This window comes from Homo sapiens, chromosome 3 (assembly GCF_000001405.40).
Source record: "Homo sapiens chromosome 3, GRCh38.p14 Primary Assembly".
In the NCBI taxonomy this organism is placed as follows: Eukaryota; Metazoa; Chordata; class Mammalia; order Primates; family Hominidae; genus Homo; species Homo sapiens.
The window spans coordinates 164,021,526-164,049,235 of NC_000003.12; the positions used below are offsets into that span (position 1 = coordinate 164,021,526).

Consider the following 27,710-nt stretch of genomic DNA (forward strand, 5'->3'; position numbering starts at 1 on the left):
TAAATAATGGGGGTTTCTTTGGTGGAAAGGAATCCTCTCTCTTGCCAGATGGTGGCATGGAAACGAAGAATGTGATAAGCATTCTTGGAGTCTTTGTATATGTTGACCCGTTTTTTTTTGGAGAGAGTTAGGACTCTGGTGAGAGCTAGAAGTTCTGCCTTCTGGGAGGAGGTTCCTGGGGGTCAGACTTTAGCTTCAGTTACATAGTCTAAGGTAACTTCTGCATATTCAGCAATTTGGGGAGAGCCAGGGGCTCCAGAAGAGGAGCCATCTATGAATAGTTGGTCATCTGGGTTAATGAGAGGCTTGGAGGAGATGTTAGGGAAGTGTGGCTGCAGGTGATCCAGAGTGTCAGTGCAAGAATGAGTAGGAGGGGAAGAGGATATGGGGAGTAGGGATTCTGAGGGGGGCACTTTTGGTGAGGCTGAATTTGGGATTTTCAATAAAGACAGCATGGAGTGACAGAATTCGGGAAGGAGGGAGCTTAGCGCCTAGGAGTAGAGGAGATCCTGTAAGTTGTGAGGGCTGTGGACGGTGGTGGTTTGGCTGAATGTTAGTTTTTGCTTTCCAGAGCTAAAATGGACGCTGCTGCTAATGCTCTAAGACAGGTTGGCCACCCTTTGATAGTGTTGTCTAGTTGTTTAGAGAGGTATGCCACAGGGCAAAGGAAGGAAGATTTCCCTTTTGTCACCCTAAGACCCTGAGAGCTATTCCTTGGTTTTCAGTTGTATAGAGAACAAAGGGTTGGGAGATGTCAGCTAAGGACAGGGCAGGTTCAGTGATGAGAGTGGTTTGGAGTTTCCAGAAACTGGGAAATATGTTGTGTGGGGGGCTTAGGGGTTCACAGAGGGGGCCTTTGGCTGCTTCATAGAGGGACTGAGCCAGGAGGACAAAGTTGGGAATCCATATTCTAAAGAAACCTGGCAATCCTAAGAAAGAGAGAATTTCATTTTTTGAAGAAGGCAGAGGCAAGCTGTTTGTTAAGGTCGCTTGTGCTGAGGTCATGGCTTGGGCCCTGGGGGGAGAGTTGGACTCCTAAGTATGTTACTGTTGGGGCGGATATTTGGGCTTTGGAGGGGGAGACCCTATATCCTTTGCTAGCAAGGAAGTTTAGAAGGGTGATGGTGTGAGTTTGGGAGTCCTCTAGGGAGGGGCTGGAAAGAAGGAGATCGTCAATGTATTGGAGGAAGCTGCTGGGGGAAAGGTTTAAGGAGGTGAGGTCCTGGGCTAGAGCTTGTCCAAAGAAGTGAGGGCTGTCTCTGAAGCTTTGAGGGAGGACAGTCCATGTGAGTTATTGTGACGGAAGAGTGTCAGAGTCAGTCCAGGTGAAGGCAAAGAGATCTTAGGAATTAGGGTGTAAGGGAATGGTAAAGAAAGCATCCTTTAGGTCAATTGCTGTATAGTGGGTGGTGTTGGAGGGGATGAGGGAGAGGAGTGTATAGGGGTTAGGGACCACAGGGTGAATAGGGAAGACAGCCTGACTAATGGCTCAGAGGTCCTGAATGTGTCGGTATGAGCCGTCCGATTTTCTAATGGGGAGGATGGGGGTGTTATATGGAGAATGTGTTGGTCTAAGAAGGCCGCATGAGTACAGCTTGTTTATAATAGGTTGGAGGCCCTTTTGGTGGGTTAGGGAGATGGGGTATTGGGGAACATTAGGAAATTTGGAGGGGTCCTTTAACTGGATTTTGATGGGGTTATGATGTGTAGTTATGGAAGGGGTGGTGGTATCTCACACCACCAGGTTAAGAAGAGAAGAGGGAAGCGGGTACTGGGGAGAAGCGTCAGTGGCTGGACTAGCGGAGAGGAGCAGAAGGGACTCTGGTTGAGAGAGGCAGGAAAAAGTGATGGAAGCTTTGAATTTAGCTAAAAGTCCTCGGCCTAGAACGGGGGTGGGACAACAGGCATTATAAGGAAGGAGGGTGAAAAAATAGTATTAAACAAGGAGCAAGTAAGGGACTCAGTGGCACATGGATGTAAGATGAATCCATCAACCCCCACAACAGAGACCTGGGAGGGATGAGTGGGTCCTGAAAATTCAGGCAAAGCTGAGTAGGTGGCCCCGGTATCGACCAAAAATGAGATCAGCTTACCTGCTACTAGCAGAGTTACCCTGGGCTCTGATGCAGTGATGGCAGATGGCGCCGGGGGACCTGGGCTCTGTCAGCCTTCAGCAGCCAGGCCAAGGAGCTGCAGGAGGGTGAGCAATCTTTCACTCTCTGCCTTGCCAGGGCTTTGAAGAGTTGGTCTGTTAGCCTGGTTGTTAACAGGACAATCAGACTTCCAGTGGCTGGTCTGTTGGCAGGCTGGGCAAGGAACTTTTGGTGTCCTTGGGTTAGGACATGCCCATGCCCAGTGACTTTCTTTGCCACACTTAAAACAAGGCCAGGGGGGTTACTGCAATTGGGTTGTTTGTGCCCTTGGGTACTATGGCTAGGCTGACAGATAGCTGCTACCAGAAGCCTGTATTTAGCATGATCTCTTTGGGCCTTGTCTAATTTAATCTGCTCATCCCTGTTATTGAAGACTTTGAAAGCCAGGTTAAGGAGGTCTTGTTGTGGGGTTTGAGGGACATCTTTGGCCTTTTTAAGTTTGCACCCTATGTTAGGAGCAGACTGAGAGATGAAATGGGTATTAAGAACAATAACTCCTTCCCAGCAGGTGGGGTCAACGTGGGTATATTTTTGGAGGGCCTCTGTAAGGTGGGAAAGAAATTCGGCGGGGTTTTCATCGGCTCTTTGGGAGTTTTATTTGAGCTTTTCAAAATTTATGGCCTTATGGACTGCTTTGTTAAGGCCTGCGATGTGGCAAGTAATCATATGGTTATGAGATGCCCGGCCAGGGTCAGTGGGTTGGTACTCCCAGGGGGGTTCCTCCGGGGGAACTGCAGCATCCCCTACAGGCTTAGTAGGGTCTTGTGGATGAAGATAGTCGGCATGTGCCTGTGCTGTGAGCCACACTCTTTCCTTCTCTTCTGGAAGGAGGGTAGAAGACAGGATAATGTAGAGATCATGACAAGTGAGTTCATAAGATTGGGTAAGGTATTTAAATTCTTTGATATAACTGTCGGGATCGGAGGAAAAGGACCCGAGACGTTTTTCAATTTAGGAGAGGTCAGAGAGGGAGAAGGGAGTGTGGACGCGAATGATGCCTTTGGCTCTGGCCACCTCTCAGAGGGGAAGTATGGGGGCTGGTTGTTGGGGATGCTGAGTTCGAGAGTGGGTACCAGGTGGAGATGGGGATGAATCAGAGTCAGAAGCTGGGTCGTTGGAGAAAGGGGGAAAGGAGGGAGGGCAGGAGCAGGAGCGTGGGGCAGAGGGTCATGATGATCAGGCAGAGGATTATTATGTTGACTGGGCAGAGGGAAGTCAGCAGTGTCAAAAGCGAAAGAATCGTCAGAAGGAAGGGGAGCTTCTTCTGACAGAAAGAATCGTCAGAAGGAAGGATGAGTCAGGCTTGGAGCGGATGAAGAGGATTTGGAAAGCACAACAGGACTGACAAAGGGAGGGGCGACTGCAGAGGACAAAAAAGGACTGAACAAAAGGGATTTCAGACCACTTTCCATTGCGATGGCAAAAGTTGTCTAGGTCCCTGAGGATGTTAAAATCGAATGCCATTGGGCGCCATTGTCCAATTTATACTGAGGCCAGGCTGTGTTACAATAAAATATGAGCCTTTTTGGCCGAATTTTGGAACAGAGGCCGAGGGCATTAAGGTTATGGAGGAGACATCCGAGGGGGGACGTCTTTGAGGGAGTGGACTCAGAGGCTCCCATGGTAGAATGAGTGAGGGAGAGGTGGTGATGGGAGACTTGGCCGCAGACTAGAACGAAGGGAGAAGGCGTCCCCTGTCCCACAGTTCAAGTCGGAGAGGTGCAATAATCCCCTGTTCAGGCATCCCTACAAGGGAAATACCGAGGGTCTGGAGGCCGGGAGGAGGAAACCGTTGGCCCAGCGCTGGGTCTTTCCGGAGGGAAAGAGCGGACAAGGGTTCCAGACAGAAGGCAGAAGTCTCCTTTACTCCCCCTGAGGTGGCCCTGGTGTTGGATGTGTCTGCCAGCAATGGAAAGGAGTAGGAAATCCTCTGGGTCTCCTGAAGGTTCTGGAAGGGGGAGTTCAGCCGGGAGAAGAGGGGGAGGGAAGGAGAGAGGGAGAAGGGGAAGTCGAACTCTACCACCTTCCTGGGTTTTGGCACCAAGATGTAAGGGATAATTGGAAGGACAGCCAAGAAAGGAATAAGGCCAATAGGCCCAAGTTCAGGCAAGCTGATTTATTGTCAGTCCTGCCAGGCTACCTCTTGATAAAAGCAGAGGAGGCAGCCCCGCTTACAGGCTATAGTAAGGTTTTATAGGGTGTAGAACTGGCTCAGGGTGTAGGAAAAATAAAAGGGGGCACGGGGCGGGGGTCCTTTGTGCCAGGTGTCTGACTGCTTCCTGGAGATGCTTTTCTTGCCAGTTCTGTGGTACAAGGTAGACGTCTTAACTGCATCCTGGGACAGCTGGCCTCCGGTCAAACAGTTACAGGCAGGTTTGGGGTAGGAGGTTTTACTTTTTGGCCTCTGGGGCTTAGGTCTATGGGAGGGGGAAACAGTCCAGTTGGATGGAACCTAACACAAAGTAATCCACACCTAGTTCAATTTATTTCTTAAGAATGCAAATCCCCTTCCCTGGTCCCTCTTCATATTTTTCACCTGGAAGAGAGTTCCCAAATTATTCCTTGCTAAATATTGTGATTATGTCACTCTCATCTGGCTTTCATTTATTCATCAATAAAATCAAAATAATTCTTCCTCATGTCCAGTGACAATTATGACTCTACTCTGAATTTGATTTTATTTGTAAATATCTTTTCCCTAATATTTCTACTTTTCCTTCTAAAATATTATTCATTTCCTTTGTAACATTAGAAAATAAGTAATGCAACTAAATATATAGTGCTAAAACTGAGACTGACTCAAGTGCCGACAAAATAATTATCTTGCTTAGATGTAGGAGAGAAAAAGTAATATCTTTTCCTCACTCATTGCAAGGGTGGTTATTGGCACTCCTATAACAAAAGAAAGAACAACAAAAGAAAAACATCGCAAATTTATTTAAACAAAGATTTACATGACATAGAAGATTTTTAAAGCAAAAACTCAAAGGCCAGGGAAAACTGGGTTTTTATGCTAAGTCTGAAGAAAGAAGTGGGTAGTTGTGGAGAGAAACACAATTGGACTTAAAAAGTACAACCTAATAGTAATGAAATGGGAGGAAATTAACAAGGCTTGTTTGTTCAGATTCTTCTTTGCCTCCAGGCAGAGGGCAGTACTTTTCGGAATGAGGGTCTTATGACCTACTTTCAGGTGAGGGAGGCAAAATAATTATTTTATAACCATGCTTTAGACTAGAAGAAAGGTGGAAGAAGGTCAGAGTGAATTTTTGCCTCTTCATTTTTCTCAGTAGCCAAAATGCCCTAATTTTAGGTATCAAAAAAGGCATAACATTGAAGAACTAACTATATTTTGAAACAAATCGAGATAAAGCTAAATAAAATTATTTAAACTGATAAGAGTGTAGCATTTTTGTTCTAAAATAATGAAAGATGAGATTAAATATAATCAACATGTTTTTGGAACTTAACAAAAGTGTTTATATGTTTGTAACTGAAGAAAAAAATCATTTTTTGAATAACTAGGAAGTTGATATGACAAAAAATAATAAAATGTAGTATTAAATATGGTAGAGTCAGTCTGTGTGTATCTGTGTGTGTTTATATATTTATCCACACAAATATTTTAAAGAATATATTGTATAGATGTCACATTAAGAAAAAATGTCTTTAATATATTTAATTTGATATAAAGGGAGTTAGATACAATATGCCCAGTCACTTCATTTTTTTGTCATTTTTTTGTCAAAAAAATTTGTCAAATATTCTAGAATGAAAATTTGCTTTTTTGAAATAAATGATATGTTCTTAGATATTTGGCTTATGACACAAATTACAAACTTTGATTCTTTAAACACTGAGTCTCCTTAAATAAACTTGTTGATTTATATTATCTAGTAATGACATTTTAATACACATTATTTTAATTTTATCATTTTCATAATTAACCCCTAACTAGGCAAATGCAAAGCATAATTCAAATTGTCAATTGTAAAGGTCAAATTACTTTATAAATTTTATTTCAAATTCTCTTGCAAAATAAAAATTATAAATACTTGTGTATCTACCAGGGATGGAACTTGAACTATATATAAATTTTAAGATAAAATTATTTACAAAATAATATAGTTTTCTATTACTAAATTGAGAGACATATCAGAAATTTAGATTAACAAGTAAAATATAGCACTCCTTTATTTAAATCAGAATGTTTAAAAAAAACTGTAGATGGGAGAATAAGTTATAAATATAATTAGCTATCTAGGCTGTCTTTATAATTATTTAATCTCATGCAATTTAATTTTCTTTATAATTCTAACATTATTAAAACTTGCCTTGGTCTATTTACATCAATTCTTTAATGTACTTTTTAAATCAGCGTCTACTGAATCTGTTTCATTATGGTGTTGTCAGTCACTGAACCTCTTAGGTTTGATAATAAAAGGCTGTAGGGGCCAAGGGAAAACTTTATCCTTCACCCTCTGAAGTTTCACTGAAAAGTAACCGACAAAAGGTAGATTCATATAATAAAAGGATACAAATTTATTGATGTGTACAAGAGAACCACAGAGTGATTACCCCACCAGACGATAGGGAACAGATGGCTATATACCCTTCTCTTAGGGAAAGAGATATATAAAGTGTGGATGATTTTAGGGGATAGTAAATAATTTTTAGGGGGAGTCAATAGGCTTGAAGAACATACAGTCACCTGGGACAAAGTCTGTTGGGTTGGCAGAACACTGGTTTGTCACTGAAGTCTCTTCAGGTGTGTTGATAGACTTCAGTCTTCCTGCAATGTGAATTCAGTTAGTAAAACACAAGAGAAGGGACCTGAGATACTTGTTTTCTTTTTTGTTATGTCCAGACTTTAGGCAGATAAGGTAACTTCCAAGAACAACTTCATCCTGTTCTTTGGAAGAGGCAGGTTTGAGAGACAGGAAGAGTAGGCTCAGATCAGAGAGATGTTGAGGATTCTTCAGTTTAGCACATCAAAGTGTCATAGTTTGGTGTATTGGTTTCTGAGCTCCAACAAGGCCATGAAGACAGAAACATGATTCATACAATGTTTCTGATTTTTAGATCACAAAGACCAGTGAGAAAGATTTATATGCTTCCAAATGTTTCAAGTTAAAGTTTAAATAGAAATGTATAAAATATGCTATAAACACACACACACACAACTTCAACTAATTATGATTTCAAGGAAGAGAGAAGAATGGTAAAATCAAGACAAATTTCACTGAACACATAATATTAGAGCTTAATTTTAAAAAGAAATCTTTTTGTGGATTAGGGAAGTAGAGAAAGGGTTTCCATGAAGAGAATTAATGTGAATACAAATGCACATGTTTTTGTTTGTTTTCTGATAAGCTTATTTTTTTCTTTCTTTTTTTCTTTTTTATTGTTTGAGGTACAATGCCATGAAAAGGAATGCTGAGCACTCTAGGATTCTACTTTAAGTTGGAAACCATAAATATGTAATGCCTCCAATTTTCTTGGCAATATGAGTTTTTCTAGCAACACAAAGCTGCCAAGTGCAGGATCCTAGAATGGGAAAATTTAAGTTCAATGAACATTATTTTCAGGCATGAACAACATTTGGGCAGGTACAACTTTTTAATAACTTAAAATCAAGACACCAAGCAAATAAACTCCCAAACAGCTCAACTGTTGGACTGTCTTATGAAGATAGCCACAATGGCTAGGATTTAATGATAATAAGATGTATATTTCGAAGCACCTCTCCACGTGAACTGTTCTTATGCAACAGAAAACATAATTATGAAATTTAAAAAAATATGTTTTTTTTCTCTGAAACTGAAATGAATACAATTCTGATATGGTAACAAGAAAAATGTATTTCAGACAACGATAACTCATTATTGATGTTAATATTGAAGTTCTTTTCCACACTATGGAGACGGGTAGCTTCTTTGTGCACTCAGAGAATTTGCTTTTATCTTCCTTTGCTACCTCAGGTCAATAGTCCATCAATATTTTATAGTCTCTCTTCTACCACAGTACTTCCACTTATGGCGTGACAGCATTCTTTAAAGGAGCTCCAGTATCTTCCTTTTTCATCAATTCATATCATTTCCATGCTTCTGTGGAATAATTGGTGAGAGGTTTGAATATTCAAATTTTCATTAACAGCTCTTCATAATTAGCTACATAAGCATGTCCTAATTGGTCTGTTCTTAACCATTGAAAACAACTGTTCTATTCTGAAGCATTGCAAACATAACAATCACCTGTGATATTTTCACTGAAAAATAATGGTATTTTTTCCCCTCCCCTCAAAAGTGTCATCAAGTAATTTGTGGCAGGACCAGATATCTATACTTTATCAAGCACTGTAGGTGATCCTGATTCAGGTAGTATAGGGATAACAATTTGAGAAACATTGTCATAACATATATTGTGCTGAATATTATTTTGGCATTTAGACTGTCTTTTAGCAATATTCATTGTTTAATCTTTCTTTACAGTGCAAAGCTCTGTGGCATGTTAAATCATTCTCTAGCAGCAGTTTGAGGAAGTTTACTGGTAGTAATGAAGACCAACATTTAATTTGTACTTACCTCCTGGCTTATAGATAGAAAAAGAAGTTTTCTTAAAAGTTTAGAAAGGTGTCTCTCTCTCCTTTCTTCCTTCTATCGTTTCAGAGGGGTTCTGCCCCACACTAGGAGGAAGGAATGCCACGTAGAGAAGCCAAGAAGAATCTGAACAAACAAGTCCGGCTAGATCTCCTTCTCAGTCCATTACCATTAGATCATACCCTTTTGTCCAATCACATCTCCACTCAGCTGTCAATTTTTCATCGAATCTAAGCATAAAAATGGATAATTTTCCCTGGGTCTTTGGGTCTTTATTTCTGAAGCCTCCCAAAATCATGTAAAAACTTGATTTAATAAAATTGTTACGCTTTTCTCTTGTTAACCTTTTTGTTGTTGTTGTTATGACAGCATCAGTTGTGAGACTTATGATGGGTATGGAAAGGTATCACAACTTTCAGCACCTACAGTTGAAAGAAATGGTCAAATATTTACATGTCTAATACAGTCTATATACCTTTTCTCCATCCCTAGTCTTCCCAGTGGGGTGTTATGTGCCCCACAAGAGTAGGTAGAAATAACCACAGAACCTTAGACAAGTACTTAATGTTTGCAGTTTGAACTTTCAATTTCAGCCCTACATCAAACGAATTCTATCTGCTTCAGAGCTTCTGTATTTTTTTCTTCCATACCATATCTAAAGTTATATTTTAAAATCTACCTGATCTTGCTTTGTGCATATCTCTTACATTATGTTTCACTAATTTTCAACATAAGCCCTGTGTTGATTAACAAGATAGATCTGCGCTCTTCCATTTGATATTACTCTTTACCATCAAAGATTCTTCCCCAACAGTGTGCCTTTTGCTTGGAATATCCCTTATCCACCCCATTATTTTTCCAGTTTTAGTCACTTTAGGCATACATTAAAACCAATAAAAATTTCATAAACATTTCTCTAATTTCAAACTTGTATTCCAAGCTTCAGAAATTGGAAATCAGGGAACTAAAACTATGAGGCCAGAAAGAGGTGTTCCATGACAATTGATGTGAGTTTCCTCATGATCAGCAAAATGATATATTTAAAATAAACTAATGTGTAGAATAAAGTATTTAAATGTTTTTGCAGAAAAAAGATACACATATTAGCTAGAAATTATTAACTTAATATTCAACTTCCTGAAAATCTAACTTAAAACTGTAACATACTTTCCAAATTTAGACTTAATTTTCTATGGTCCTTGAAATTGAATGAGCAAGAGCTTAGGATCCACATCAAAGAATTGTTTAAAAATCTACCTTGTTTTAAAAGAAAAACTTTACACAAATTTAACAGAGATTAACTGAGTAAATAACAATTCCTGAATCAGGCAGACCCCAGAATCACAGCAGATTCATAAAGACTACAGTGCTACCGCTGGGTTGAAGATTTATGGACAGGAAAAGGAAAGTGAAGTATAGAAAACAGAAGTGAGGGCTGGGTGTGGTGGCCCAGCCTATAATCCCAGCACTTTGGGAGGCCTAGGCAGGAGAATCACCTGAAGTCAGGAGTTCGAAACCAGTCAAGCCAACATGGTGAAACCCCATCTCTACTAAAAATTAAAAACAATGAAATTAGCTGGGCCTGGTGGTGGGCGCCTGTGATACCAGCTATTTGGGAGGCTGAGACAGGAGAATCACTTGAACCCGGGAGGCAGAGGTTGCAGTGAGCCAAGATGGAGATCACGCCACTGCACTCTAGCCTGGGTAACAAGCATGAGACTCCATCTCAAAAATAAAATAAAATAAATAAAGAGGTACAGACAGTTGAACTGTTTACAGCTCAGTAGCTTAGTGTTTGCCTTATTTGAATACAGTTTGAACAGTTGGCCACCTTTGGCTAAAACTCAGTGATTGGCATAAGAGTAGGTTACAGTCTGTTTACACATTCAGTTATGTTGCTGTTCACTGTATATGGAAAAAAAAAAACTTTAGGCAGAACTTAAAATATGTAAGGAGGCAGTTTCAGGTAAAACTTGATTTAACACTTGTTTACATTCTAATTAACAAAACTAGAGATGCCTTTTTTTGTTTTTTATAGGTTTATAAAAGTTGTAAATATTTTAGGGGTACAAGTGATATTTTGATACTGTATGCAATGTGTAATGATCAAATAAGGGTAATTGGGATTTCCATCAACTCAAATCCATCTTTTCTTTGTGTTGAGAATATTAAAATTCTTCTCTTCTATTTTAAATTATACAAATTATTGTTAACTATAATTTTCCTATTATACTATCAAATACTAGAACTTAATCTTTATATCTAACTATATTTTTGTACCTATTAGCCAAGTTACAAAAGCACTGCTACAACTTTCAAAAACTCAATATGTTGAAGATAATGTATATTTCTGTCTTAGAGCTAAGATCTAATTTAGTAATTAGAACGATACATTAAAAGAAGAATCATTGCAAAGTAAAAAATTATGTGTAGGAAGGAATGAACTTCAGTAGAAGCCATCAATTGGTCATGTCCTTCCTTATTTCTCTGTTCATCTTCTTTGTCAAATTGTGCTTAGATAGTGTTAGCCGAAATTCTTCCCTTTACAGGCATTAGAAAGTTGTCTGGCTGCAATGATGTGGATTAATTACTGGGACTAGGAGGATGAAAGAAGTAGCTGAGAATAGTTGTTTGCAGTTGTACAATCACTCCAACCTATTCAACATAAAATTTTAAAATATATTTTTAAAATATTCAAATGCATGGCCTAAGAATATACGACTATTTTTACACATTTGTATTAGATATAATGTGTCAGTAAACTAAATATAAACTCAGTGATTCATTAGAATTTCTAATGTTCAAGAGTTCTACATTAATATTTGTATCTATATAATGTTTTCAATCTGGGTTCGAAGATGTTCTGCTCTACCGGTTCAATGGTGGAGTAATAAGAAGTGAGTTCTAGCCAAGTGGCAAATCTCTGTACTACTGTTTAATTTAAAGGTTTTTCACAACCAAAAATAGATTTGGAAATCATGGATGAATAGTATAATTAATAAGTAAGAACAAATTCCACCTTTTTTGCTGAACGTATTTTTGTTAGCAGAGCACTAAAAGGGTTTAGTGGCATTGTTATTTTGGTACTGTAATTCCATTCTTTTAATGAAGATATATTGAGAGTTATATACCTAAGTACTATTTTCTTTAACCTATTATCTCTAGAAGTAAAATAAAAGACCAGTAAATAGTCTGTCCTTAAGAAGCTCATCATCAAGGGTAGTAGTTCTCAATTCTGAATTCCCATAAGAATGACCTGGAGTGCTTATTTACAATTCAGTTACTATATGTCACCACTTTTTGATTGGGTAGTTTCTGAGGGGGGTCCCCAAATTATTAATTTTCCCATAATCATATGATTCTAATGCTGGTGCTATAGTGTTATGCTTTTCAGAAAATGTTGTAAATAAATATACAGATGCAAATGTTATCTATATAAAGAGGCTAGAGAGGAGGATAAGTAATCTTAGAGATAAGAAATAGAGAAAGCTTCAAAGGAGTGGCTTTTTAGTTGAATATTTAACAAAGTAAAATTTTTTGACTATAGAAAAAGTATAGTCCTTTTCATGAAAAGAAGATAGCATTAACAAAAAAGGCATGGAGGGATGGGACAATATTGTTGATTTGGAGACTAGTAGGGACATTTAGGAAAAGGAAAAATAAGACACGGATTGTTTGTAGCAAATGATAAAAAAATGTAAGAAAATTAAGAAACGTCGGTATATAAAGACATTGCATGTCATGCTACAATGTCTGTGTGTTATACCAATGGCAAAACTGGATTTGAAGCAATAGAATAATCTAATTTAGAGTTTTCAAAAATAAAATTTTAATAAATCTGGTAGAAAAGTGAAAAGTGTAAGAAAGAAGATATTTTTAGATTGAAAGTCTTGTTTTGTATAATTTGATATTTGTGAAAAGTTTGGGAAATATCGTAACTTTTTCATAAATTTTAGATAACAAAAACAACAATAGTTTATCTATGGTTAAGCTAATATAATATGATTTTACTGGTATTTTTCAATTTTTAAAGACTCTGAATGTGGACTTGAGGTTTTAACTACTCAACACATTGAATTAGATTATTTACTTTATTAACTGTTTTACCTAGGGTTCTTTAATACTTTAAGAAAATTGGAATGTAAGTTAATCAATAAATCAAGCAAAAAAGAGAGAGAGAGAAAAAAAAAAACTCTAAACAACTTCTAAGTAAATGTGCCCCATAAATCAGATCATCTATAATCCAGTGCAAAAGGAAATAGTACAAGTTAAACCAGAGGCTTTTAAAACCACTCTATAATTAAATACCAGCTTTGCTTCCAGAAAGGTCATGATCAAAAGTATTTGGTCATATATACATACGCTTTAGAGTTTGGGAATTATAAAAGCTGAGCAGTAGATTATAATTCTTAATTTAAAATTAATCCCCCTGGGGATGGGGGGAGGCAGATAAGGGCAATAGCTTTCCTATTTGAGGGTACCATGTGTGAATCTAGGTGGTGTGTGCTGCTAAGTACTTGGCTTAAATATTCTGAGAAATACACACATCCAGATGTGTGTGTCCTAAATTAACCCCATTCAAGTCTCTGTAGAATTAGGCTTTAAATGGGTAAGAGTCAATATTTGTGCCCCAGAATGAGATGTGGAAATAGTACCACTTTTTAATTAAGACATTTACTATGTTCTATATTAAACATGTTTGCCTTTCCTATTGCTTAAAAAAAAATCCTGTGTCCTAAAACAGTACTATAAAGGAGATGAATGAGCAGACTGCCTTGTGACTCACATCAGTACTGTATGGAACCAAGACTGACTGTAGTTTAACCTGGAGAAGTAGACTTTTGGGAATGCTGCGAAAATGTGCACTGGATAGTATGAAATGGAGTGGGGTGTAGGGAGAGAAAGCCAATATAAGATTCTAGAGAGGTGCACAGATGGGATCAGCAATATTAAGACAAAAGTTTGAATTAGAAATTATCCAATCCACTGAAAAAAAATTAGCTGAGAGAAAATGAACTCAAATAGCTGGATTAGTTTATAATGAAGAAGTGAAAAAGCCATGAACTCAGAGCTTGCCCAGCTAAAAAGGTAGGACATTTCTGTCATAAATCATTGAGTTGATGAGGCTTATTGCCCACAGCAGTGTCATATGATTGGTCTTGCTTGCTTGTGTTCTTCATAAGGTTCCTCTTAGCCGATGGAAAAAAAGTTAGGAGGGAAAATGAGAATTGACAGAATTTAAATACACACCAAAAACCAATAATTAAAATTGGATTACATAATTCTTTTGTCCTAGGCAAGAGATGAATTAGACAGGGACCACATGTTTATGAAATTCTGCAGGACAGGTCTTGTTACTTCCTCTCCCCCTGAGTAAGATAAGATGGCTTGGATTTCAATGAACTTATCTGGAACTAGATTACTTGCTATAGGTTACTTACTTAATCAATGCAAGTGTCAGTTTCCACATCAATAAATCTGAATAATGATGCATAGCTTTAAGGATGACTATGAGAAAGAAATTAGCTATGCAAATCTAATTGCCCTAATCAATGACAAATTCATAACAAGTTCTTAGTATATGTTAGATGTTAGTGATTTATTCATTAAATATATTTCTAAATGCATGGTACATCAGCTAAACATGAATTAGAATTATAAAATTGTAAAACCACAGAATTTAAAATTAAATTCTGAAAAAGAAATCAATGGTTTCTTAATACATTGGTTTTCTAATAGTACACAGAGATTATATAAATATATTTAAAAACGTTTACTCAGTTTCAGAAAGTTTTGGTAAGGCACGATGGCTCATGACTGTAATCCGAGGACTTTGGGAGGCTGAGGCAGGTAGATCACTTGAGACCAGGAGTTTGAGACCAGCCTGGCCAACATGGTGAAACCTCATCTCTACTGAAAACAACAACAACAGAAAATTAGCCGGGCATGAGGCCTAGGCACAAGAATCGCTTAAACCTGGGAGGCGGAGATTGCAGTGAGCCAAGATGGTGCCACCACATTCCAGCCTGGAAAACAGAGTGAGACTGCATCTCAAAAAAAAAAAAAGAAAAAGAAAAAAGAAAGTAAAATTGTAGTGAGATATAATCTCCCTACAAATAAATACATATCCTTTTCCAAAATAGCAGGCAAAGCATTCTGTATAATTTTCATTGAACAAAATTCTTAACATATATAATAATAATTTCTTCCAGATCCATAAAGTGTATAAATTCTGTACTTTATTTCATTAGTTAGAAAATATTTTACCGGAATCTCTGGGACACATTCAAAGCAGTGTGTAGAGGGAAATTTATAGCACTAAATGCCCACAAGAGAAAGCAGGAAAGATCCAAAATTGACACCCTAACATCACAATTAAAAGAACTAGAAAAGCAAGAGCAAACACATTCAAAAGCTAGCAGAAGGCAAGAAATAACTAAAATCAGAGCAGAACTGAAGGAAATAGAGACACAGAAAACCCTTCAAAAAATTAATGAATCCAGGAGCTGGTTTTCTGAAAGGATCAACAAAATAGACCGCTAGCAAGACTAATAAAGAAAAAAAGAGAGAAGAATCAAATAGATGCAATAAAAAATGATAAAGGGGATATCACCACCGATCCCACAGAAATACAAACTACCATCAGAGAATACTACAAACATCTCTATGCAAGTAAACTAGAAAATCTAGAAGAAATGGATAAATTCCTCCACACATACACTGTCCCAAGACTAAGCCAGGAAGAAGTTGAATATCTGAATAGACCAATGACAGGAGCTGAAATTGTGGCAATAATCAATAGCTTACCAACCAAAAAGAGTCCAGGACCAGATGGATTCACAGCCGAATTCTACCAGAGGTACAAGGAGGAACTGGTACCATTCCTTCTGAAACTATTCCAATCAATAGAAAAAGAGGGAATCCTCCCTAACTCATTTTATGAGGCCAGTATCATCCTGATACCAAAGCCGGGCAGAGACACAACCAAAAGTGAGAATTTTAGACCAATATCCTTGATGAACATTGATGCAAAAATCCTCAATAAAATACTGGCAAACCGAATCCAGCAGCACATCAAAAAGCTTATCCACCATGATCAAGTGGGCTTCATCCTTGGGATGCAAGGCTGGTTCAATATACGCAAATCAATAAATGTAATCCAGCATATAAACAGAACCAAAGACAAAAACCACATGATTATCTCAATAGATGCAGAAAAGACCTTTGACAAAATTCAACAACGCTTCATGCTAAAAACTCTCAATAAATTAGGTATTGATGGGACATATCTCAAAATAATAAGAGTTATCTATGACAAACCCACAGCCAATTTCATAATGAATGGGCAAAAACTGGAAGCATTCCCTTTGAAAACTGGCACAAGACAGGTATGCCCTATCTCACCACTCCTATTCAACATAGTGTTGGAAGTTCTGGCCAGGGCAATTAGGCAGGATAAAGAAATAAAGGGTATTCAATTAGGAAAAGAGGAAGTCAAATTGTCCCTGTTTGCAGATGGCATGATTGTATATCTAGAAAACCCCATTGTCTCAGCCCAAAATCTCCTTAAGCTGATAAGCAACTTCAGCAAAGTCTCAGGATACAAAATCAATGTGCAAAAATCACAAGCATTCTTATACACCAACAACAGACAAACAGAGAACCAAATCATGAGTGAACTCCCATTCACAATTGCTTCAAAGAGAATCAAATACCTAGGAATCCAACTTACAAGGGATGTGAAGGACCTCTTCAAGGAGAACTACAAATCACTGCTCAACAAAATAAAAGAGGATACAAACAAATGGAAGAACATTCCATGCTCATGGGTAGGAAGAATCAGTATCATGAAAATGGCCATACTGCCCAAGGTAATTTACAGATTCAATGCCATCCCCATCAAGCTACCAATGCCTTTCTTCACAGAATTGGAAAAAACTACTTTAAAGTTCATATGGAACCAAAAAAGAGCCCGCATCGCCAAGTCAATCCTAAGCCAAAAGAACAAAGCTGGAGGCATCATACTACCTGACTTCAAACTATACTACGAGGCTACAGTAACCAAAACAGCATGGTACTGGTACCAAAACAGAGATATAGATCAATGGAACAGAACAGAGCCCTCAGAAATAACGCCACATATCTACAACTATCTGATCTTTGACAAACCTGAGAAAAACAAGCAATGGGGAAAGGACTCCCTATTTAATAAATGGTGCTGGGAAAACTGGCTAGACATATGTAGAAAGCTGAAACTGGATCCCTTCCTTACACCTTATACAAAAATCAATTCAATATGAATTAAAGACTTAAACGTTAGACCTAAAACCATAAAAACCCTAGAAGAAAACCTAGGCATTACCATTCAGGACATAGGCATGGGCAAGGACTTCATGTCTAAAACACCAAAAGCGATGGCAACAAAAGCCAAAATTGACAAACGGGATCTAATTTAACTAAAAAGCTTCTGCACAGCAAAAGAAACTACCATCAGAGTGAACAGGCAACCTACAAAATGGGAGAAAATTTTCGCAACTGACTCATCTGACAAAGGGCTAATATCCAGAATCTACAATGAACTCAAACAAATTTACAAGAAAAAAACAAACAACCCCATCAAAAAGTGGGCAAAGGACATGAACAGACACTTCTCAAAAGAAGACATTTATGCAGCCAAAAAACACATGAAAAAATGCTCACCATCACTGGCCATCAGAGAAATGCAAATCAAAACCACAATGAGATACCATCTCACAACAGTTAGAATGCAATCATTAAAAAGTCAGGAAACAACAGGTGCTGGAGAGGATCTGGAGAAATAGGAACACTTTTACACCGTTGGTGGGACTGTAAACTAGTTCAACCATTGTGGAAGTCAGTGTGGCGATTCCTCAGGGATCTAGAACTAGAAATACCATTTGACCCAGCCATCCCATTACTGGGTATATACCCAAAGGACTATAAATCATGCTGCTATAAAGACACATGCACACGTATGTTTATTGCGGCATTATTCACAATAGCGAAGACTTGGAACCAACCCAAATGTCCAACAATGATAGACTGGATTAAGAAAATGTGGCACATATACACCATGGAATACTATGCAGCCATAAAAAATGATGAGTTCATGTCCTTTGTAGGGACATGCATGAAACTGGAAATCATCATGCTCAGTAAACTATCGCAAGAACAAAAAACCAAACACCGCATATTCTCACTCATAGGTGGGAATTGAACAATGAGAACACATGGACACAGGAAGGGGAACATCACACTTTGGGGACTGTTGTGTGGGGGGGAGCGGGGAGGGATAGCATTGGGAGATATACCTAATGCTAGATGACGAGTTAGTGGGTGCAGCGCACCAGCATGGCACATGTATACATATGTAACTAACCTGCACATTGTGCACATGTACCCTAAAACTTAAAGTATAATAATAATAAATAAATTAAAAAAAAGAAAATATTTTAAAATATTTTTAAATGTTAAATTTTACTCTCATAACCTAAATTATTGTACATAACACTTGTATATGGAACCTACTGACATTATGTTGTTGAATTTCTTTTAATGAGCACATTCACATTTCCTGTTTTAATTATTCAAAATTGTCCTACATGCACATACTTTGATCTCCATTGCCTGTCTACTAATTTTTACTTCTTCTCCTGCCAAAAAATAATGTATAAATAGGAAAACAATAAAGAAACTTGTTATTACAACTCTATTATTTTTTGATGCATAGGCATATCACAGTAAAAGCAAAATTCGGCTCTACCTATGCTAATATTTAGCTGATTAAATCACATTTCTCAATGTAGGTAGATCTCATGTTTATCTCCAGTCACAGAAAAACTCTGCATGTAAGAGCAAAAGCTGTTCACTCTACTATTCATTGAGGTGTTTATATTAGAAACATGGAGTATTTTATGATTGATAAAGCCATAATTAAGTAAATAGCTAATTCTACAGTTGAAACAAGTATGAAGTACTTTTGTAATATTCTTGACATTTCAGTTTCTATTAAGCTTTATGTTGTGCCAAAGGAATATGAAACAACAATTCTCCTTAAATAAATTGATGACCAACTTTTCAAGCAAAAACAGCCATTAAAAGGAAAAATTGGGTTCTATGTTCAGGAAAAATATTCTTTCAAAATGTGATAAAATCATACTCAACAGTATAAAACTTAATGGATACCACACACTGCCAGGTATCATAAATGATTATCTGATAGAAAAAGCAATTACATTTAAAACATTTTCTCTTAAATAATGGCAATGACCACCTTGGGGATTATCTTGATGTATAGAGTAAGTACCATGTGAATGTTCTTGAATGCTTTTTGGTTTTTAAGACTAAGTTGGTTACTTTGATTGTTTGAAATATTGCACGGCACATTATTTCTCTGTGCTAAGATGCCATCTACTTTATCATGTAACATCAATATTTTGTTAGATTGGGGATAGGAGATATGAGCCACTTAACTAAATATACATCAATTTTCTTTACCTTTCTGAGAACAGCATAAAATTTCATTTCAATATAAGAACCAAAGTTTGAGAATATCAAGCAAATAACAATGAGTGGCCAAGCAGCCCACACAAAAGGCTGGCTGGACTAAATTTTATGAGGAAAAAATAATAGATAGTGGCAGAAGTAAGTGTAGTGTTCCATCATCTCAGTGCACAAAAGTCTAGCAGGCCCAGCAGTAAGAATCCATTAAAGGTATCCTGACCCTTCAATTGCGGGGCATTTAAACTGCATTGACTCCTCTGCTGAAAAGATAACAGCAGTTAACAGGCAGTCTGTGGTCTCTGGCCATGCTTTTCTGCTAACTCAGAACTTGTAGTTGGGGAATACCAGCTGTCCTTCCCTGTTATGATTAAAAAGTTTGGGTTGAAGCCTTTACCACAGCGTGAAATGTAGTGAAAGAGACTGATTCACAACTATAGCAAGCCCAAGAGGTGACCTCCATGGAATTTAAGTCAGCAATCTATTCTACTTGAGTCAGTAAGGGCTTTGTGTCTAGGAAGTGCCATGCTGTTGAGAACACTAGAAGACAGAAAAGTTAATAAAGAAAAGAAGGACAAAGGATATTTTGAAGACTGTCACTAAACTATGGGTAGAGGGAACCCAGACCTGCTCAAACAAATCATTCTCAAGATGTAGATTGAAGCTTTCGAGCTTATTGAATAAAGGGATCACTAGTGTTGATCAGTAATTTGTGGGACTACATAAATTGTTTGAAACTCAATCATACCCCATCACCTTTGCCCTGTTAAAACTTCCCTTCTCTGTGTGGTTGTCTGTGTGGTTATAGCCAACTTATCCCTCATCTGACTAACCCAAATCTCAACATATCCCCATGACTTGGAGTTGATCAAAGCAATGTAAATAAGTTCCTCTCTTCACGTGTGATTTTTTTAAACTAGTCAATTGACAGCTTCAGAGAGAAAGCCTAAGGGATAATTAATGGACATTAATAAAGATGTAGTCCCACTGGTTTGCTTCCTTTTACTCCTCTCTCTCTCTCTCTCTTTCTCTCTCTATTATGCACACACACACACACACACACACACTACCTGCTGGTTGAGCTTGTTGCTGCCTTCAAACGTCCCTTCAGCCTCCTCTCAACCCCCTAACCTAACTGGGACATGTAAGTAGTACATTTCTTCTGTTTCATTTTCATTTATTCTGTTTTTACTTTTCTATCGTCTCTTACCTGACCGCACACAATCCTAGCTTTCTCAGTCAGGGCTCTCATAGAGAATGGCTTTCTTGGCATATGGCCACTCTCATGAAAAACACATCTAAAGGAAAAATTAAAGAGAAACTGTAACAATAGAAATTACAACGATAAAAGTGAGAATGTGAATTAAGGGAATTTTCAGGTAAACAAAAGACGAGAGGAGTATTGCCAGTGGAATTACTTCAAAAGCACTAAAGCAATTGCTTCAGGTTAATGGGTATTTACTGAAACTGTCAACTGTTCCAATAAACACCTTATATTAGGTTTAGAACATTTTCTTATAATCCTAAGAAATATTGCATGATTAAACTAAAATAAGATAGATGCCAAAAATGTGCACTTTCACACATTCTTTTAGGCATTTACTGCAGATCATAGCCAGTGCCATAAAACAAGAAAATAAATAAAAAGCATAAAGATTGGAAATGGAAAATGTAATACTCTCATTATTAAAAGACTATATGATTACTTATATTAAAAAGTCTAAGGAATCTACAAGATGACTACTATAACTAGTCATACTAGGGGATCAGGAATACTTCAGGTTATAGGATCAGAATGTATTATCAATTGTGATTTTATATATGATAACCAAATAATTAGATAATAAAATTTTAAAATAGCATTTATTATAGCATAACAATTATAGTTCTTAGGAATAAATTCAACAAAAAATGTTTAAGACTTCTACATAATAAACTATAAAACAATGATAAAATAAATTAAAGAATATCTAAAAAATACAGTACAGTCACAGATTCAAAGACTCAATATTAAGATGCTAGTTTCCCCCAAATTGATCTACATATTCAAAACAATTCCAGTCAAAATCTTAGCAGACTTTTTTTTTGGTAGAAATATATTAGTTGACTCAATATTACGAAGGTCCAAAGCATATACACAATCTTAAAACAATCTTGAAAAAAAGAAAAGAAATGGTGGAATACTCATGTTATTGATTTTCTGTCTTTCCATAATGTTTTATTAATAAAGATTGCATGATTTTGCCCTATGGAAAGACAATAAGATCAATGGAACAAGTTAGAAAGCTCAGAACTAAACCTCTATTTATTTGGTCAATTGATTTTCAACAAGCTGTCATAGTAATATAATTCAGAAAGGAAATTCTTACAACAAATTCGGTAAATATGTGAGGAGAGAAAATAATTTTGATGCCTCTCTCACAGCACCTGCAAAAGGTAATTCACAATTGGCCAAAGACTTAATTGCAAAAGCTTAAATTTTAAATAAAAAGTACAACTTACAGAAAAAAAAAAGCTTTCTGGCTTTGATGAGGGTTTTGAATGCAAGGATACGTTCACTTGTCAAATTTATTCAAATTATATTTAAGATCTGTGTATTGCACTATATATGTAATTTTTTAAATTTATTAAGAGATAGGTCCTCACTGTATTGCCCAGGTTGGTCTCTTGATGGTCACTTGAACTATAGGTTCAAGATTCACCTCAGCCTCCCAAGTAGCTTGGACTACAAACACATGTCATTACCCCAGGCTTATGTTCTATTTGAAGTTCATTGCAAATGCAATTTGATGAGGCAAGGCACAGATGGTGGTCATGTCCATAGTGTGGTAAGCAACTGACAATCATATCTGGAATGAAACGCAGTCTAGACTTCCTGACTACTTGAGGATGCAAGTATAAGAGCAGAAAAGAAAACAGAGGGAGAATTGTATGGACCTTGTTCTCTACATTGTAGCTTTGTAACTCTTGGTATCTTTCCCACTTCCTAATTCTTGGGTACCTAAAGGACAACTAAAACCTAAATGAGACTCCCACTACATGGTGATATTAATGACACATAACATTAATAGAGTATTCCAGAGTGTCCTACAATAAATAGCAGTGTGTCGGTTGGACTGTTGCAATCTGCACCTGGGTGTTCTGTTCTGGAAATATTTTGTATTTGAACACCACAAATTAATGGCTTAGGGATGGCCACTGATCTCATTCCAAGTTGTCCAGGATGGAGTTCTGAGACCATGAAGAGTGTTTTATTGGTTGACTAGGTGGTGTCTGGATATTTTAGTAATTATTCACAAAGGGTTGTGGGAAAGCTTTCTGAATGAGATGAAACCTCAATTGATAGGACCTTTGGAGACATGTATGAGTTAGCAATGCAAAGGAATTAGGGAAGAGGATAAAGAAGAGGACCTTTTAGCTATCTATATTATTTTCAAATATGTGGAATAATCTAGTTCTCCCAAAGGAGACAGATATTTTTAAAATAATGTTTTATCTATTTTTTACAAATCATTCCCTGTATATCTGTATGAAATTATAGAAAGTAGATAACCTATGTAAACCTAGCATAAATTTCTAAATCTGTATGTTCAAAATATTTATTCCTTATTTGTTTGTGTCACCAAAACACTTTCTTGTTTTTATTTTATTATATCAATTACTATTTGCAATTTTCATTAAGCACAAGTTTATTTTCATAGGAATTGCAGCATGTTTACTTATAGTACACAAAAAAAACTAGTGCAATGTGTAAAAATCAGTAAACATATAAAAATGTTCTCCTTTACCTTTCTGTTTTATTAGTCTTATCTGGTATATATTTCCTTAAACATAAAATAATAGTAAATTTAGTTCACTCCTATTATTTATATTTTACTATTTCTATGTGGAAACTCATATCAAAGATAAATCATTTGAATAACCTAGATTATAATAACTCAAATTTAAGATGATTCTTACATGGTTAATAGTTTATGATTTATGTTTGAAGCAACCCAGAAACATGTGTTAAACTTGACATCTGAAATTTAATAAGGTACAAAGATATAATTGTGAATGAGCAAATTTTATTTCTCAATTAAGGATAAATAAATACATTCTACTTTAATAATTTACTTTTTAAAAAAGTAATGAGCTGTAGTTTTGACTTTCTGAAGCATTTTTGTTTGGAGTAGAGTGTTGTACTAGTATTCTATGGCTGCTGTAACAAATTACCACAAATTTACTGATTTAACACACATCTGGAGGTCAGAAATATAAAATGTGTCTCATTAGGCTAAAATAAATATATCAATTACTATTTGCAATTTTAATTAGCACAAGTTTAATGAAAGCAGGACTGCATTCCTTTCTGGAGGCTCTAGGAGACAATCTACTTATTTGTGCTCTTTAGCATGTAGAGGCTGGCAGGATTTTATTTATTATTTATTTATTTTCTGGCTCAAGGATAATTTTCCTGTCTTAAGGTCAACAAATCAGTAACCTTAATTCCATATGCAAACTTAATCCCCCTTGGCATGTAATTTAGCGTATATCACAGATTCTGGGGAGTTGGATTTGAAGACAGTATTTTGCCTACCACAGTCTGCCCTTGGCTTCTAAAGATTCATATCTTTCCCACATACTAAAACATATTCTCCCTGTTCCAACATCCCCAAAGATCTCATCCCATTATAGCATCAACTAAAAATCCAAAATAACATGTCATAACTTACATTAGTTCAAAAATCCCTAATTTCATAATCTAAGTAAAGTATGGTTGAGATTATGAGTATATACCATCTTGGGTCAAAGTTTCTCTCCATCTATTAATTGTGAATTTCAAGAAAAAAGATATCTACTTTTAAAACACAAGGATTTGAAAAACATACACCAATTATAAACATTTTTATTTTAAAGGGTGGAAAAATGAAAGAAAATATGAATCAACAGTTTAAAATAATTGTTAAATCCAGCCATGGAAACTCCATTTGGTTTCAAGGCCAGGGACTAATTCTTAGGTAGGTATCAGGTAAATAAAGACTGAAAAATAATAGTAAAATATAAGTTGTCTTCTATTTCCTCAAATAATTTATTTACTGGTTTAATAGTACAAATTAACTCAGAGGCAAAATTTTGCCTAACAGAACAGAATTCTCTACTAATAAAAAGAAGTCTTTTTTTTTTTTTTTTTTTTTTTAGACAAGTCTCACTGTTGTCCAAGTTGGAGTGCAGTGGTGCAATCTTGGCTCACTACATCCTCCACCTCCTGGGTTCAAACAATTCTCCTCCCTCAGCCTCCTGAGTAGCTGGGACTACTGGCATGCGCCACTATGCCCAGCTAATTTTAGTATTTTTAGTAGAGATGAAGTTTCACTATGTTGGCCAGGCTGGTCTTGAATTCCTGACCTCGTGATTTGCCCACTTCGGCCTCCCAAAATGCTGGGATTACAGGTATAAGCCACCATGCCTAGCCAAAAAAGAAGTATTTTATTCAAATAAATTGGAATATATATTCATTTACTTTTGACTCTAAAACCTTCAAGCAGATTTGAATTGGTATTTACAAAACCAATGATAAACTGAAATAATATTTATTGATTTAATCTATAGAATTTTTGAGTCTTAGCTCAAGTGATGTCTTCTAGGAGATTTGATATAGTCATTTTTAGATTTAGAAAATATTGTTAAATATTTCAAGAAATTTAAGAAATGAAATAATTGCTTCAGTTACTTCCTCTTACATAAGAGAAAGAACGTTGACCTAACCGGAATGAGATAGTACCTAAAGCAATTATTTCATTTCTTAACTATTACTTAAGTTTATCATTGCTCTTGTAAATACCTATTCTATTCTGCTTAAAGGTTTTAGAGTCAAAGGTTTTAGAGTGAAAAGTAAATAAATATATATTCCAATTTATTTGAATAAAATACTTGTTTTTCTTAGTAGAAAATCCTGTTAGTCAAAATTTTGCCTCCAGATTCATTTATATTATTAAACCAGTAAATAAATTGTTTTAGGGAATAGAAGCCAACCTATATTTTATTATTATTTTTCATTCTTTATTTTCCTGCTACCTACCCAAGTTATAATTATGTTTATCAAATATAAGAAAGCCCCATCAGGTGCAAGTGATGAAATATATATGGACATTTATTTTATGTTTTTTAAAAAATTAGAAATTCAGTTCTAGCAGAATAAAAATAGCCATTTTTTAATTACACATGCATGCTTGGCTCACTGCAACCTCCACCTCCTGGGTTCAAGCGAGTCTCCTGCCTCAGCCTCCCAAGTGTCTGGGATTACAGGTGCATGCCACCATGCCTGGCTAATTTTTGTATTTTTATTAGAGACAGGGTTTCATTATTTTGGGCAGGCTGGTCTTGAACTCCTGACCTCAAGTGATCTGCCTGCCTAGGCCTCCCAAAGTGCTGGGATTACAGGCATGAGCAACTGCGCCTGGCCTTAGATGGGTTTATTTGCTGTATATTACTTCAGATTACATTTCTAACATAGAGTGCAGAAAGCAGAATTTTGACAATAATAACTCTTATGTTAGAGAAAAATGTACTAATCTTTAATAAGTATGTGATACATATATTAAATATTTAAAAAATAATTGTCTTTAAGAGAACTGATATGACTTTGAAGGTTTGCTTTTTTATGCGTCAGTTTTTATCTGGTAATGAAAGGATCATTTTTAACTCAACAGTTCAGGATTAAAATGTGAATTGTATAATGTGTTACCCCAAGTGATTGATCACTATTAGTACTATTACCATGTTTATAATTATTATTTTTATTTAATTTAAATTTAAATAAAAGTGTTACCTTTTCATTTGCTTATTAATCACAATAATGTTGTTTTTACTATCTCAGCTAAAATATTATTTTCTTCTGGATTATAATTTCATAATTTTGTGATATGCAGCTTGTTTACTAAAGCAGTATGTCACAATAACAAGTTTGTAAATTTTGGAATTTGACCACCTTGTTCCATATTCTTACTCTGTCATTTACTACTTTTTAGTATTATTAATCTCAAACAAATGACTTTATTTTGCTAAACTTTGATTTTAATGTCTGTTATATGGACCACTCTGTCAAATTTCTTACTTAATAAACAGTATATAGCAATAATTATTACTATATATACAGTTAACAAGTTTTGGAGAATATTTTATGCGAGTCTAAATTTATTGATGCTGGTGTACTTGCACAAAGTCTTGAATTCATTGTACATATCCCATAAATAACCTGACTTTGGTTTAGATGTTTGACTGCTGACAGCTTTCAGTACCTACATTTCCCAATTTCTCTTTTGTCTGCATCTGTGAAAATTGCTAAGGATACCTTGGTTTTCCTTCCTTTGGCACTGACAGGAAATTCAAACCATGCAAATCCTAGCCATGTGAGGCAACCCTCAACACAACCCCATTTCCCAATCACATAAAACCCCAAGCCACTTGCCACTGTGCTCTCTTGTTTTTAGTGCTTTGGTGCTTTGGTGCTTGCTCTGCTCTACCCAGAAACCCTCATTTTCCAAGAATTTTAGCCTCATTTTAGCCTCATTTTAACTTCTTGGTGATTGTGTGCAACCATTAGTCTTGACATTCAAACCAATTATAGGTGAATGGGAATGGAAGGGTGTCTTCTGTTTTTAAAAGTTACTAAAGCAACTATATTAGGCAATTTGATGTTTTATGATTTTTTTGCTCAATTGTTACATAAATCATGAACTAAATAGTGACATGATAAATATAATCTCTATGATTTAATTTTGTTGATTTATTTGTATACTCTAAACTCTGTTTTAAGTGTTGTATAGTCACGTATCACTTAATGATGAGGATACATTCTGAGAAATGCATCATTACGCAATTTCACTGCTGCGCAAACCTCATAGAATATACCTACACAAATCCAGATGATGTAGCCTACTACGTACCTAGGCTGTATGGTATAGCCTATTGCTGCTAGTCTACAAATCTTTTCAGTATGTTACTGTACTGAATGCTGTAGGCAATAATAAGCAATAGTAATGGCTCATATTTCTAAAAATATCTAAACATAGAAAAGGTCTAGTAAAAATATGGTATAAAAAGTGTTTTTTTTTTTTTGTTTTGTTTTTGTTTTTTAAAGAGGCACACCCACTTAGGGCACTTACCATGACTGGAACTTGTAAGACTAAAAGTTTCTCTGGGTGAGTCAGTGAGAGGTGGGTGAACCTGAACACCTAGGATACTACTCCATGCTACTACAGGCTTTATAAACACTGCACAATTAGGCTACACTAAAGTCATTTAAAAATTTTTTCAATGATAAGTTAACTAGCTTACTGTAACATTTTTACTTTATAATTTTAAAAAACATTTTTATTTATAACACTTAGCTTAAAACCTGTGTATAGGTGTACAGACATATGTTCTTTCTCTATGTCCTTATTCTATAAGCTTTTTT

The 27,710-nt window shown here is 36.2% G+C and overlaps 1 long non-coding RNA gene across 1 annotated transcript in view; it reads right to left on the minus strand.

Moving 5' to 3' along the window:
- Positions 1-6,668: 6,668 nt before the first annotated feature.
- The window catches only part of LOC102724419 (uncharacterized), a 169,359-nt gene continuing 148,317 nt past the window's right edge, over positions 6,669-27,710 (minus strand). Inside the window, exons 4-5 of the long non-coding RNA XR_001740997.2 lie at positions 8,735-9,171; positions 6,669-8,257 (exon numbers count right to left, since the gene is read on the minus strand). This is a non-coding gene — a long non-coding RNA (uncharacterized LOC102724419). The remainder of the gene's footprint in view (positions 8,258-8,734; positions 9,172-27,710) is intronic.